The 12,479-nt window shown below is 37.3% G+C and overlaps 1 protein-coding gene across 3 annotated transcripts in view, besides 1 other annotated feature; it reads left to right on the plus strand.

Moving 5' to 3' along the window:
• NDUFV2 (NADH:ubiquinone oxidoreductase core subunit V2) overlaps window positions 1-12,479 on the plus strand; it is a 31,643-nt gene that overhangs the window by 5,996 nt on the left and 13,168 nt on the right. For 2 of the 3 annotated variants that reach the window (XR_243808.4, NM_021074.5), the window contains exons 2-4: window positions 9,144-9,209; window positions 10,632-10,694; window positions 10,780-10,896. Coding sequence is in view for 2 of the 3 variants with exons in the window: in NM_021074.5 (NP_066552.2) it covers window positions 9,144-9,209; window positions 10,632-10,694; window positions 10,780-10,896 (246 nt within the window). In the remaining variant the exon portion in view is untranslated. Of the gene's footprint in view, window positions 1-3,343; window positions 8,945-9,143; window positions 9,210-10,631; window positions 10,695-10,779; window positions 10,897-12,479 lie in introns of those variants that run through there. The other variant, XM_017025782.2, reaches the window with a different exon arrangement.
• Window positions 4,954-5,203: an enhancer, noted in NCBI's record as "active region_13070". NCBI's record gives its function as "activates an Ori minimal core promoter by ATAC-STARR-seq in GM12878 lymphoblastoid cells {active_cell/tissue: GM12878}" and the evidence as "EXISTENCE:reporter gene assay evidence [ECO:0000049][PMID:35858748]".

The following is a 12,479-nucleotide window of genomic DNA, read 5'->3' on the forward strand; positions in this document are numbered from 1 at the left end:
TTTTTTTTTTTTTTGAGACAGAGTCTTACTCTGTTGCCCAGGCTGGAGTTCAGTGGCGTGATTTTGGCTCACTGCAACCTCTGCCTCCCGGGTTCAAGCGATTCTCCTGCCTCAGCCTCCCAAGTAGCTGGGATTAAAGGTGCGTGCCACCACACCCGGCTAATTTTTGTACTTTTAGTAGAGATGGGGTTTCACCATGTTGGCTAGGCTGGTCTCAAACTCCTGACCTCCAGTGATCCACCTGCCTCGGCTCTCAAAGTGCTGGGATTACAGGCATGAGCCACTGCACCCAGCCTCAAGGATTTTTTTTAAATGTAAAATTACCTAGTCTGAATGAATGTATTGCAGACCCTGACTTTTTTAGGAGGTTTCAGTTTTCTTGCTTGAGCTGGCAATAGGGGAGGCTGTAGGTAACAAGTCAGCAGATGTTGTGAACAGTGAGAGGAAGGCACGGAGGGACCTCAGACCACTTTGGATTCACTAGAGATGTTTCATGTGTGCACTGTGACTCTTGCACAGGCAAATAGATATCTTGGTGGATTTAATCTGTAAATATTAGGGATCATCTAAAAGGTATATTCCTTGCCTTAGTTGGCCTCTAATAAAGGAAAAAAGAAGGGTTTTTGAATTGCCTGACCTTAGTCTTGTCTTTCTGACTAATTAGATTACTGCTTCTGTCAGTTTTGTCTTACAGCTTCTTAGTCTCTTATTAACTTCTCTTAGCTGGATGCATTTATAATGCAAATGTCTGATAGAACTGAAAAGTGAGCTTCGTTGGATGGTAGTATTGTTTGAACAACAGAAGAAATTCAGAAAAAGAGTAGAGCCCATGAAAAGACAATTAAGGAATCCTATTGGGGAGAATATAAAACTTTAATTTTTGTCATTTTGAGCTATTGGTATTGCCAGTGACAGTAAAAGGGAAAGGCTGGTAGAAAGAGCACAGGGCCCTTAGATTGAAAGAGCCTGGGCTCAAAATCCAGGTCTGTCACTAATTGTGCGGTATGGGGCAAGTTACTGTCTTTGAGCCTGAGTTTCTCTAAATGTAAAATGGAAATAATGACTCACTACAGATTTTTTAGGAATCGACGAAAAAAAGTATGTAGAAGAGCTTAACACAGAGGCACTCAAGTTTACTTGACTCCAACGAAAAGGCAGTCACTGTTTTGGCCTGCTTAAATCTTTTCTTTTCCTTCTGAAACACTGAAAAAAAAATAAGCTAGAATTCAAACCCACTGTTAATTTTGAGCTGTATATTAGGTTATGATCTTATTTACTTAAAAAAGTTACTTGGTTGCATGCTTTTCTTCTTAAAAAAAGGAAGTTACTTGGATTTTCAATTGGACTCAATTGGAATTTCTTGAGGTATAGACATTTCAGAGTCTAATGAGAAGCTAGATTCTAGAGAAAAGACTAGACTGTACTCAAAGAAGGGGGTGGGTGGGAACTCAGCTTATTCTTTGAATCATTCCAGCCTAGCTAGGTTGTTTTTTCCAGTTTTAAGCCTGGTCCTGGAATGCCTCTTTATTTCAAAGTGAAACAAAATTGAAATGGCCCAGTAAGTAGTGTAAAGATGTTAATGAGAACTTTTAATGTTTTATTCCTTTATTGAAAGTGTCTGACGTAGACATTACAATGAATGTAAAATAGGTGATATTCTTTAAACACACCAAAAAAACAATTTTCAAAGCCATTTTCAGGCCACCTGTAACTTGATAGGGATGAATAACAGTTTATGCCAGTTGAAAAAAACCGAGAGCTAAGATTTATCAGTTTATCTTCACTATTTAGTTTGTTTCTTTCTTTATTGTTTGTTTACTTACTACTTTTTTGAGACAGGGTCTCACTCTGTCTCCCAGGCTTGGGTGCAGTGCATGATCATGGCTCGCTGCAACCTCAACCTCTTGGGCGCAAGCGATGCTCCCACCTCAGCCTCTCAAGTGGCTGGGACTACAGGCATGTGCCACCATGCCTGGCTAACTTTTGTATTTTTTGTAGAGACAGGGTTTCACCATGTTGCCCACGCTGATATCAAACCCCTGGCTTCAAGCGATCTATGGGGCTTGGCTTTCCAAAGTTCTGGGATTATGGGTGTGAGCCACCGTGTCTGGCCAGCTTCTTTTATTTTATAAACATTATCTCAGCCCTTCTTATACAACTTTGAAGAGGTCGACTTCGGACTTTGAAATTAAGTTGCTCAAATGTTATGCTAGTGTGTATACGTTCAGGTTTTTTGCAGGAATAGAAGAGAAGGGTGGCAAGGATTAAAAAAAGATTAAATAACTTGCATCTTTCTCTCTTAACAGGAGCATTGTAAGCCAAGGAGGCAGGGCTTTTCATTTCTTATCTGCCTGCCTGTATATATGGAGGCCTGATTTTCTTCCTTAAACTCCTTGGTTTCTTAGACCTACTATGTTCTTTTAAAGCTTTGATGTCATCAAACAGTCAGGTGGCTAATAATAAGGTCATGGCCTTTGTAATCATCTGGCCCTAGGATCTAACATAATTTCTGCCAATAATTAGTGATGTGACCTAACCTTGAGAAGTTTTCATAACTCATTTAAATTTCTGGGAATAATACCCACCTTGCAGGAAACTTTAAGAATTAAATAATGTGTAAAAAGCTTAGTGCCTGACACATAGTACTTCTAATAATAATAGCTAATGATAGCCAACACTAATACAGTACTTACCATCTGCCAAGCAGAATATTAAGCACTTTACATGAAGTACATCTTTTTTTTTTCCCCCCGAGACAGAGTCTCACTCTGTTGCCCAGGCTGGAGTGCTGTGGCACGAGCTGGGCTCACTGCAACCTCTGCATCCTGAGTTCAAGCGATTCTCCTGCCTCAGCCTCCTGGTTAGCTGGGATTACAGGCACGTGCCACCACGCCCAGCTAATTTTTGTATTTTTAGTAGGGATGGGGTCTCATCATGTTGGCTAGGCTGGTCTCGAACTCATGACCTCAGGTGATCCGTCCGCCTCAGCCTCCTAAAGTGATGGGATTACAGGCATGAGCTACTGTGCCCGGCCTGAAGTACATCTTTTAATGCTCTCAAGAACCCTATGAAGTACATGCCGTTATTTTTCTGTTTTTATAAATGAGGAAACAGGCTCTAGAGCTGAGCTTTTAGCCATTTTGCTATATTGTCTCTCCATACATAGGATATTTATGGAATATTAGATAACAGTGATACATCCCACCTTCAGAGGTGCTAGAATGTGGAAAATGTGTTTATTAGAAATGATGAAATTGACATTTCATATACTAGAACGTGTTTGGTGTTGGTCATCTTTTACACCACACTCAGCATCAGAAGGGTTTTTTTTTTTTTTTTTTTGATAGAGAATCTCGCTCTGTCGCCCAGGCAGGAATGCAGTGGCTCGATCTCAGCTCACTGCAACCTCCACCTCCTGGGTTCAAGCAATTCTCCTGTCTCAGCCTCCCAAGTAGCTGGGACTACAGGTGTGCGCCACCACACGCGGTGAATTTTTGTATTTTTAGTAGAGATGGGGTTTCACCATATTGGCCAGGCTGATCTCGAACTCCTGACTTTGTGATCTGCCCACCTTGGCCTCCCAAAGTGCTGGGTTTACAGACGTGAGCCACTGCGCCTGGCCAGAAGGATGGTACTTTTAAAATTAGTTTGGTGATATTAGACAGGATGTTTTGGATTGAGAAAAAGGGATCAGCCAGAAGACTTACAGTAATGCACAGACATGAAATAATGTCTGAAATAGTGGTGATAGTAAGACAGGGAAAGAACTAAAGACTTCATTGGGTTTTTTTGTTTGTTTTTGTTTTGAGACAGGGTCTCACTTTGTCACCCAGACTGGAGTGCAGTGGTGTGATCTCAGCTCACTGCAACCTTCACCTCCCAGGTTCAGGCGATTCTCCCACCTCAGCCTCCTGAGTAGCTGGGACTACAGGTGTGCGCCACCACACCCGGCCAATTTTTGTATTTTTTGGTAGAGATGCAGTTTCACCACGTTGGCCAGGCTGGTCTTGAACTCCTGACCTCAAGTGATACGCTTGCCTTGGCCTCCCAAAGTGCTGGGATTACAGGCATGAGCCACTGTACCCGGCCCTTCATTGGTTTTTAAAAGTTTAAATGTAATACATATAATGGCAAAAAATTCAAACAGTAAGCAAGGCTACATATTATAGTATATATACATAACAGTACAGAGTAGGGATACAAGAATATGTATTATGATAAAAAATATATGTTGCATATATTATATATGTTAACCCATGATACATCCCACCTTCTAACTTTCCACATTCTAACACCTCTGAAAGTGGGATGTATCACTGTTATCTAATATTCCATAAATACTCTACATATGGAGAGACAATACAACAAAACAGTTAAAAGCTCAGCTCCAGAGCCTGTTTCCTCATTTGTAAAAACAGAATAATAACAGTATGTACTTCATAGGTACATAGGTACTTGATAGGTATTTAATGCTTCTTGAGAGCATTAAGAGATGTATTTCATGGAAAGTGTTTAATATTCTGCCTGGCAGTAAAGACTAAATTTTCTTCCCACTCCAGATCTTGATTCCTCTCCTTAGAGACAGCAGCTGTTACTGGTTTCTTTTATGATGTCTCTGTTGAGATATTTTGATAGAAAAAGCAGTAAAAAATGGAAACTGGCACATTTCTAGATTTTATTGACTTTCTTAAGAACTTTGACAGATCTGAAATTTTACCCCATTTGTAAGCTAACAAGTTAACCTGCCTCAGTTTCATGGATGCTGGCAGGAGGCAGCATCCTGGGTCAGTAGGCAGCATGAACTTCATGTCAGTTCCCTTTGACATTCATATCTCACGGTAAGGGAGGAGACCACCCCTCATATTGTCTTATGCCCAATTTCTGCCTCCAAAAAAAGAAGAAGTAAAAACTAAAAGGCAGAAATGAAATCCACAAGCAGATAGCCCGGTGCCACACCCTGGGCCTGGTAAAGATCAACCCCTGACCTAATTGGTTATTTATAGATTACAGACATTGTATAGAAAAGCACTGTGAAAATCCCTGTCCTGTTCTGTTCCATTCTACCCCCTGCTTGCTCAATCGATCACGACCCTCCCAAACAGACCCCCTTAGAGTTGTGAGCCCCTAAAAGGGACAGGAATTGCTCACTTGGGGAGCTCGGTTGTTGGAGACAAGAGTCTTGCCGAAGCTCCCGGCTGAATAAAGCCCTTCCTTCTCAGTGTCTGAGGGGTTTTGTCTGTGGCTTGTCCTGCTACAATGGGAGTGACATGGAACAGCCTAGGTGAGTGCTGTGCATCACTGCTAAGGGACCTTGAGCTTGGGAAACCCTGTCTGTAAGAAAACTCACTCAACTTTTGCCCCAGGAGAAGGTATTTTATACAAAAATAATAGAAAAGATGGTCTTAAACAAAAGCTGTTCAGTGCTGCTGCTCACCAAATGCACAAACCTAAGACCCATGGAAATCTTTCTACCAGCCTATTTCTTCCTCCTTCCCCACTTTCTTTAACTAAAAGAGAAATTTATGAATTAATTTCAGTGGAGAAGTAGATGGTTTTTTAACCATCAAATACATTATAATTTTACTAGAAAAAGTATAAGCATTATACATATGGATATAAAGAAAAAATAATTATGTGCAAATGCAAGAATATTGGCAGTATGTTGTGTTTGACAGTAACTCTTTGATAAAGTCAACTAACAGCACAATTTTTTAAAAATAGGTGTAGTTTTAAAATGCAGTTGTTTGGATCTTTTTTTTTTTTTTTTTTTTAGTTATTAAATGTTTTATCCTTGTGTCAGTTAAGCAGGTGATAATGCTTTACAGGTTATATAGTACTTTCAGAGAAACTTTACTTAAATCTCAAAATAGTCCAATAAGAAGATAACCCTGTTTTATAGGTACAGAAATTGAGGCTTAAAAAAAAATTAAGTGAGTTGTTCTAGGTCAGATGTTAGTAAGTGGCAGAATGGTAATCTAAACCCAAGGCCTCAACAACTACAAAAAATCTGAAAGTCTGTTTTTTTCCTAGAGTTTAGCTACTTTATCCTGACCCTTCTCAATCAGTAGTCTGTCTTCAACGATTTGGACTTCAAACCACTTTTAGAAATATGTCTGTGAACTCATGTGCGTATCCAGAGCTTTACAAGTCAGCAAGAGAATGCCTCAGAATAGATTTTCCAATATGTAGCAACATAAGCCTAAAGAATAATTTTCAAGATTATCTCTATATTTTTATTTTAAGTAAAAGTACATGACAGATCCTGGATTAATGAGAAAGGGATCAAATATTAATCCAAAATGGAAGCTATTTTAATTTAGACATTTGGTGGTATTTAATTTGATATACAAGGAGGTTAGAAGGAGAAATAGGTTTTACAATAGAGATAAGTTTTTCTTATACCTGCTGAGTGTTTTATTTTAAGTAGGATTTTTTTGGCCAGTTAATCCATGCTAATAGGAAATTTGGAAAATAGAGAAAAATATAAAAAATGTAAAATAAGAGTCCCTTATTTCATTAACATCGTAATAAGAGATAAGCACTTTTAATTATTTATGGCCTTCTAGTCTTTTAATCAGTGTCTGTATTTAATGTAATTGGGATGATAATTTATGCATTTTTGTTTTTTTTGTTTTGTTTAACCCTGATTCCAGTTTCTACATGATTATTTTTACGACATATTTTTGTTAGCTACATAACGTTCTAGTGTCAGAATTATTAGTATTTAGTTAAAACCTGCTCAGATTGGGTTTTTAGGTTGTGTTTTTGCTGCAATAAACATAATAGGAACAACATGTTTTCATGTAAAGCTTTATCCTCATTTTGTACTGCAGGAAAAATACCTAGGTTAGAATTACTAAATTAAAAAATGGACACTTGGGGCCAGGCGCAGTGGCTTACGCCTGTAATTCCACCACTTTGGGGAGCTGAGGCGGGCAGATCACTTGACATCGAGAGTTCAAGACCAGCCTGACCAACATGGAGAAACCCCGTCTCTACTAAAAATACAAAAAATTATCCAGACGTAGTGGCACATGCCTGTAATCTCAGCTACTTGGGAGGCTGAGGTAGGAGAATCGCTTGAACCCGGGAGGCAGAGGTTGTGGTGAGCCGAGATCATGCCATTGAACTCCAGCCTGGGCAACAAGAGCGAAACTCCGTCTCCAAAAAAAAAAAAAGACACTTATTTAGGCTTTCCATATATCATGGTAATTTGCTTTCTAAAAGGCTATATGAATTTTTAAGTGTGCTTGTTTCTCTATATGCTCAACAGAATGGAATGCTATCTTAAAAGAAAAAAGATACTTGGTAGTTTGATAACTAGTAATGTTATTTTAAGTTGTATGTTTTTAGTTACTAGTAAGCAGTTTGAATTCTGTGAAACTTTTGTTCATGATCTTTACTCATTTTTTAAGTGCATTTATGATCTCTTCAGGCTATTAGCCTCTTGTCATCAAATGTGTGTAAGATTTAAGACTCATCACTGTCAAGTTAATGGATGAGTTCTCAGAGGCAAAGGCTTTATAGAGAAAAGAAGATAGGAGTGTGAACTGAGCCCTGAGGACAGCCTGCAAGGAGTGGATAAAAAGCCAATAAACAGAAAATGTTAGTGTTCAGAAATTAGGAGAAGACTGAATACTTTCCCTACTCTTAAAATTAATCCTTTTATTATAAGTATACAGTCTTTTCTCTCAGAATTTAGTTAAGTAACTCACTGATGTTACTCAAAAATTGTTACTCGATTAAAAAAATTTTCTGAGCTAAGATGACAGTGACTGTCTTCTAAATTTTAGTTTCAGTTAATTTTTCAAAACAAAACCAACACAATCAAAGCCCCCTTGTGCACCTCTGACTGTATCCCTCCCTGCCTTCCAATTATCCTGAAATTGATATTTATCACTCCCATCTTTTGTACGTGTGTCTCACATCCTGTACCTTAGTCTTTTCTTGTTAATTAAAGCAGATGTTCCATGTAAACTTATTTATTAATATTTCTTCAACTGAAATATCATTTGGACCTAGGGTAAAGTTAAATATACTATTGTGTTATATTACTCCGTTTACTTTCTTCTATGTTTGCCTTTGAATTGTCCAACTCTTTGCTAGTTCCATGCTTGGTTTAACCCAGCCAGTGTTCTGCCGTCTGTGGTTAGTAGAACTCAGAAATTGGAGGAATCCAGAACAGTAGTTGAAATACTTGGGGGCGGGGGACAGGGTAGGAGTGGAGGGTAGGAGCAAGAGGGCAAAGAGAAATGAAATGCAGCTGAGAGAATAATCAGATTCCTTCCAAAGCAACTGAACATTGTCAGTCCGCATAGCATCATAAATAGCTTTCTGAAACTACTTTTTTTTTTTTTTTTGAGACGGAGCCTTGCTCTGCTGCTCAGGCTGGAGTGCGGTGGCGCGATCTCGGCTCACTGCAACCTCTGCCTCCCAGGTTCAGGCGATTCTCCTGCCTAAGCCTCCCGAGTAGCTGGGACTACCAGCGTGCGCCACCACGCCCAGCTAATTTTTGTGTTCTTAGTAGAGATGGGGTTTTACCATGTTGGCCAGGATGGTCTCGATCTCTTGACCTCGTGATCTCCTTGCCTTAGCCTCCCAAAGTGCTGGGATTACAGGCATGAACCACCACACCCGGCCAGAAACTACTTTTTACGGCTGGAGTTTCAGAACTAATTTAGTAAAGGATTGAAAAGGAAGGAGGATACAGTTGACTCATTTGTACAGAGTATATGACTCATTTGTACAGAATGAAAACATGTTTATGAAGGTTCACACTAAGTGAAAGCTGGCATCCAAGTTGATTCAGACAAAAGTGAAAGTCAAGAAGTTAATAGTACATTAATTCTCCAAATGCATGCCAGCAGAGCGTGGCAGGAAGGTACACAAGTCAGCAGATCTGGGTTGTCCTGGTTCTCCTATTGACTCGTGTGTGTGATGTTAGGTGGGTGAATCTTGGCTTTGAATCTCCATTTGTAAAATAACTCTCCTGAAATAGAGATGGATAGGGTAGAATACCATATTTCTTAAGATCTTTTATAAGTTGATTCCATTGTTGTAAATTATGAATCCTAAAGTATTTCTTTATGAAAAATTTTTTAAGGCTATGATTTACTAAACTTTCTTAAAATTTTAAATTTTAGGGAAGACATGTAAGGAATTTGCATAAGACAGTTATGCAAAATGGAGCTGGAGGAGCTTTATTTGTGGTAAGTAATTACTTAGATTTCTTTGGAAAGAAAAGACTTGGAAATTGGGGTAAATCCATTGTAAAAATCCAAAATATCTTAAATACCATTGTCTTTGATATATGATGGTCATCGTGAGAATTTACATACAGCTAATTGAATTTACTACATTTCAAAAGATGTTGGTTCCAGTTGAACCTCATGAGTTTAAATTAGTATCAGGAAAACTCTGGGAATAAGAATTTATTTCCAGTGAAATTACTGTGTGAGCCCTAACCTGATTCTCATCACACTTTGGGTTCTCAGTCATGTTGGCTTACTGAGAGTTTGGAGATTGTAACTTGTTGAATCCCAAAATGACACTAGTTTGAAACTCATGGATTTTAGTAATGTAGTAACTAGATTAGCAGCTGGTCTTTATATTTTTAGTTTCCGGAGTTTTAACTATAAATAGAAGTCTGTGAACTCCCCAGATTAGTTGCACAATTTGGAAAGGATAAGATATTATATCTCCCTTTTCTGACAAGGTGCTGTTTTCAGGGATTAATCTAGTATAAAGGCAATATAGTGGACTTGTGTGATGATTTAGAGTTAGTGGTGTAAGAAGTAGCTTCCTGCTATATATCAAGCATCAAATTGGCCACATATTTGAGATCATTGTCCAGAGTGTCTGTTTTCTTTCCTCTTTTGGCTTATGTCCTTTAAAAAGCAGAACTCCGAGAGTTAACATATCAAGAGATTCATTTCTGTATTCACCACACATACATAACATTAATTGATCGTAAGTGTTAATCTCAGTGTGACTCATTTGATTTCCTGTTGACATGCCATTTCTTGTCAGTTTTTGAAGAGGGCCTGCTTCTGCTCTTTTAAGAAGAGATAAAGCTTCTTGCTGTTGGCTATTATGGAAAACGTGGGAAAGAGATGGTGCTGTTTTTTTTTTTTTTTTTTTTTTTTTAAGATGGTCCTTTTGTACCCTCCTAAAGTAATGGGTCTTAACCCTTTTGGATCCCAGATCCCTTTGACAATCTGATAACCTTGCTTTTGGGAAAATACACATATGTTCACATTTAAAATTTTGTGTTTTAATTTCATAAAGGCTTCCAATAATTGGTAATGTTTTGGTAATTCTATCAGAAGATCTTACTCTCTAATGAAGCTGGATAACACTTTTTGTTGTTTGGGTTTTTTTGGTCCTAAAGGTACTTCTCTTATTCTTTAAATGGTCCTTTGTAAATTTTTAAATTCTGCTAACTTTACTTTGGTAATCATACTTATCAAATGTGTGTTTAGACATTCTTTTTGATGGAAGGATAGGGTGGTATATATCATGTTGGAATTAAAATGGAGAGATTAAACAATAAGTAATAGTATAGTAATGTACAGTGTCATTCACACTTGAGAGAATTTGGATAAGTCTGAAAAACTGTTTTTGTTGTGTAGCACAGAGATACTCCTGAGAATAACCCTGATACTCCATTTGATTTCACACCAGAAAACTATAAGGTATGGCTAAATTAACATTATAATTAATTTACCAAATAGGTAATATTTTCTAGATGTATAAAATGATGTTCTTTCTTTTATACAGAGGATAGAGGCAATTGTAAAAAACTATCCAGAAGGCCATAAAGCAGCAGCTGTTCTTCCAGTCCTGGATTTAGCCCAAAGGCAGAATGGGTGGTTGCCCATCTCTGCTATGAACAAGGTACTGGATTCATTTTTGCCTTAGTTCTAAAAGAGAAGAGATTGTGTATGATAATTTCCTTTTATAGAAATTACTCTGATCATCTCCAGTGTCAGAATCTAGGATTTTGGAGCCCTTTAGCCATTTGTATGTTTCCTTGAATTGTCTTTGTGTTTTTGTTCATTCCCTTAATGCATAGAGGTGATTTCTAACCTTGCAGGAAATAAGGAAGGCATTATGGTGAAAGAGGGTATGTGTTTTTTTTTTTCCTTTTGAAGGAAATGGTCAAAGATAAAAGATTCCAAATGTGTATAACTTAGTGTCAAGATATTCTGAAAATTAATGTAATATTTAAACACTAGAATTACAGAAAAGAAGATCTGCTCACTAGTATGAAAATTTTTAATATTTTACATCTTTGGCTGTAGGCTGTAAGAAAAATCTGTATAATAGGTGATATTTATACAATTTGATTATGCTACTTTGGAATCAACGACCTATAGAAATGCTATGGATGACCCATTTTATTCAAAGTTACTCTATTCATATAATATTCATTTTTCCTAATAGTTTTGAGCAGTAATACAAATTTCAAGTTTATTCGTATCCTGTTAATACAAATAACTACATTTGTGTGGTGATGTATTACAGCATATCATTTATAAAGTGCCATACACAAACCACATACTATTTGATTCTGATGAGAATCACATAACCATTAAGCTGTGTTATATAATGGAAAATATTTTTGACTTAGAACTAAGACACCTGATTTTTCTCTGAACTTCCTCATTGGCAATGAAAGTTTTGAACCAGGTAGACCTCTTCTAATTATTAAGTTATGATTTCTGAGCGGTAGTGCTAGGACTGAATTCATTTCTAAATCAGTGCATTTTCTACTTGACTGACTATAACAGAGATTTTGTTGTACTTCATTCTTACCACTTTCTAAACTTAATTTGGTTATAACTCTTAGGCTAGACAATCATCTTTCTGAGAGAATAGGAATGTCCTCAATTTATCTAATAGAATCCTAAATGCAAATTTTAGATTTAGTTTATTGATATTTTATTTTATTTGCATTGTATAGTACTATAACACTGGTTTTTCCCTATGAAAAATATTATAAAGCAAGTTTAGTGAGTTACTATCCTGAGTAAACATAGGTGGTTATTTCTTCGATAAATTATGTATTTCTTGGGAAGTTACTTAACATTTTTTTAAATTAAAATAGCCAACTTTATAATGATTTAGGTATATGTTTCTAATTATAATGTTATTATTTTGAAAAAATCATATTTTTAGTAATGGTAAGCCTGTTGGAAATCTTGCTGAGTGGCACGTTAGCAGAGCAAAATAAAAATAAATAAGAAACTGAAAGTGAAAACATTTAAAAAATAAGACAGGCATGGTGGTGCATGCCTGTAGACCCAGGTACTCAGGATGTTGATGTGGGAGGATTGCTTGAGCTTAAGACCAGCCTGGGCAAGATGGTGAGACCCTATCTCTTAAAAAATATGTATTTATATATTGTCCTATTATATTTAGGGTTGGATTTGTGTGGGGGAAAGGCAGGAAGTGTAGGGTATAGGGAATAGACTCAA

The sequence above is a fragment of the Homo sapiens genome, chromosome 18 (assembly GCF_000001405.40).
Source record: "Homo sapiens chromosome 18, GRCh38.p14 Primary Assembly".
NCBI lineage: Eukaryota > Metazoa > Chordata > Mammalia > Primates > Hominidae > Homo > Homo sapiens.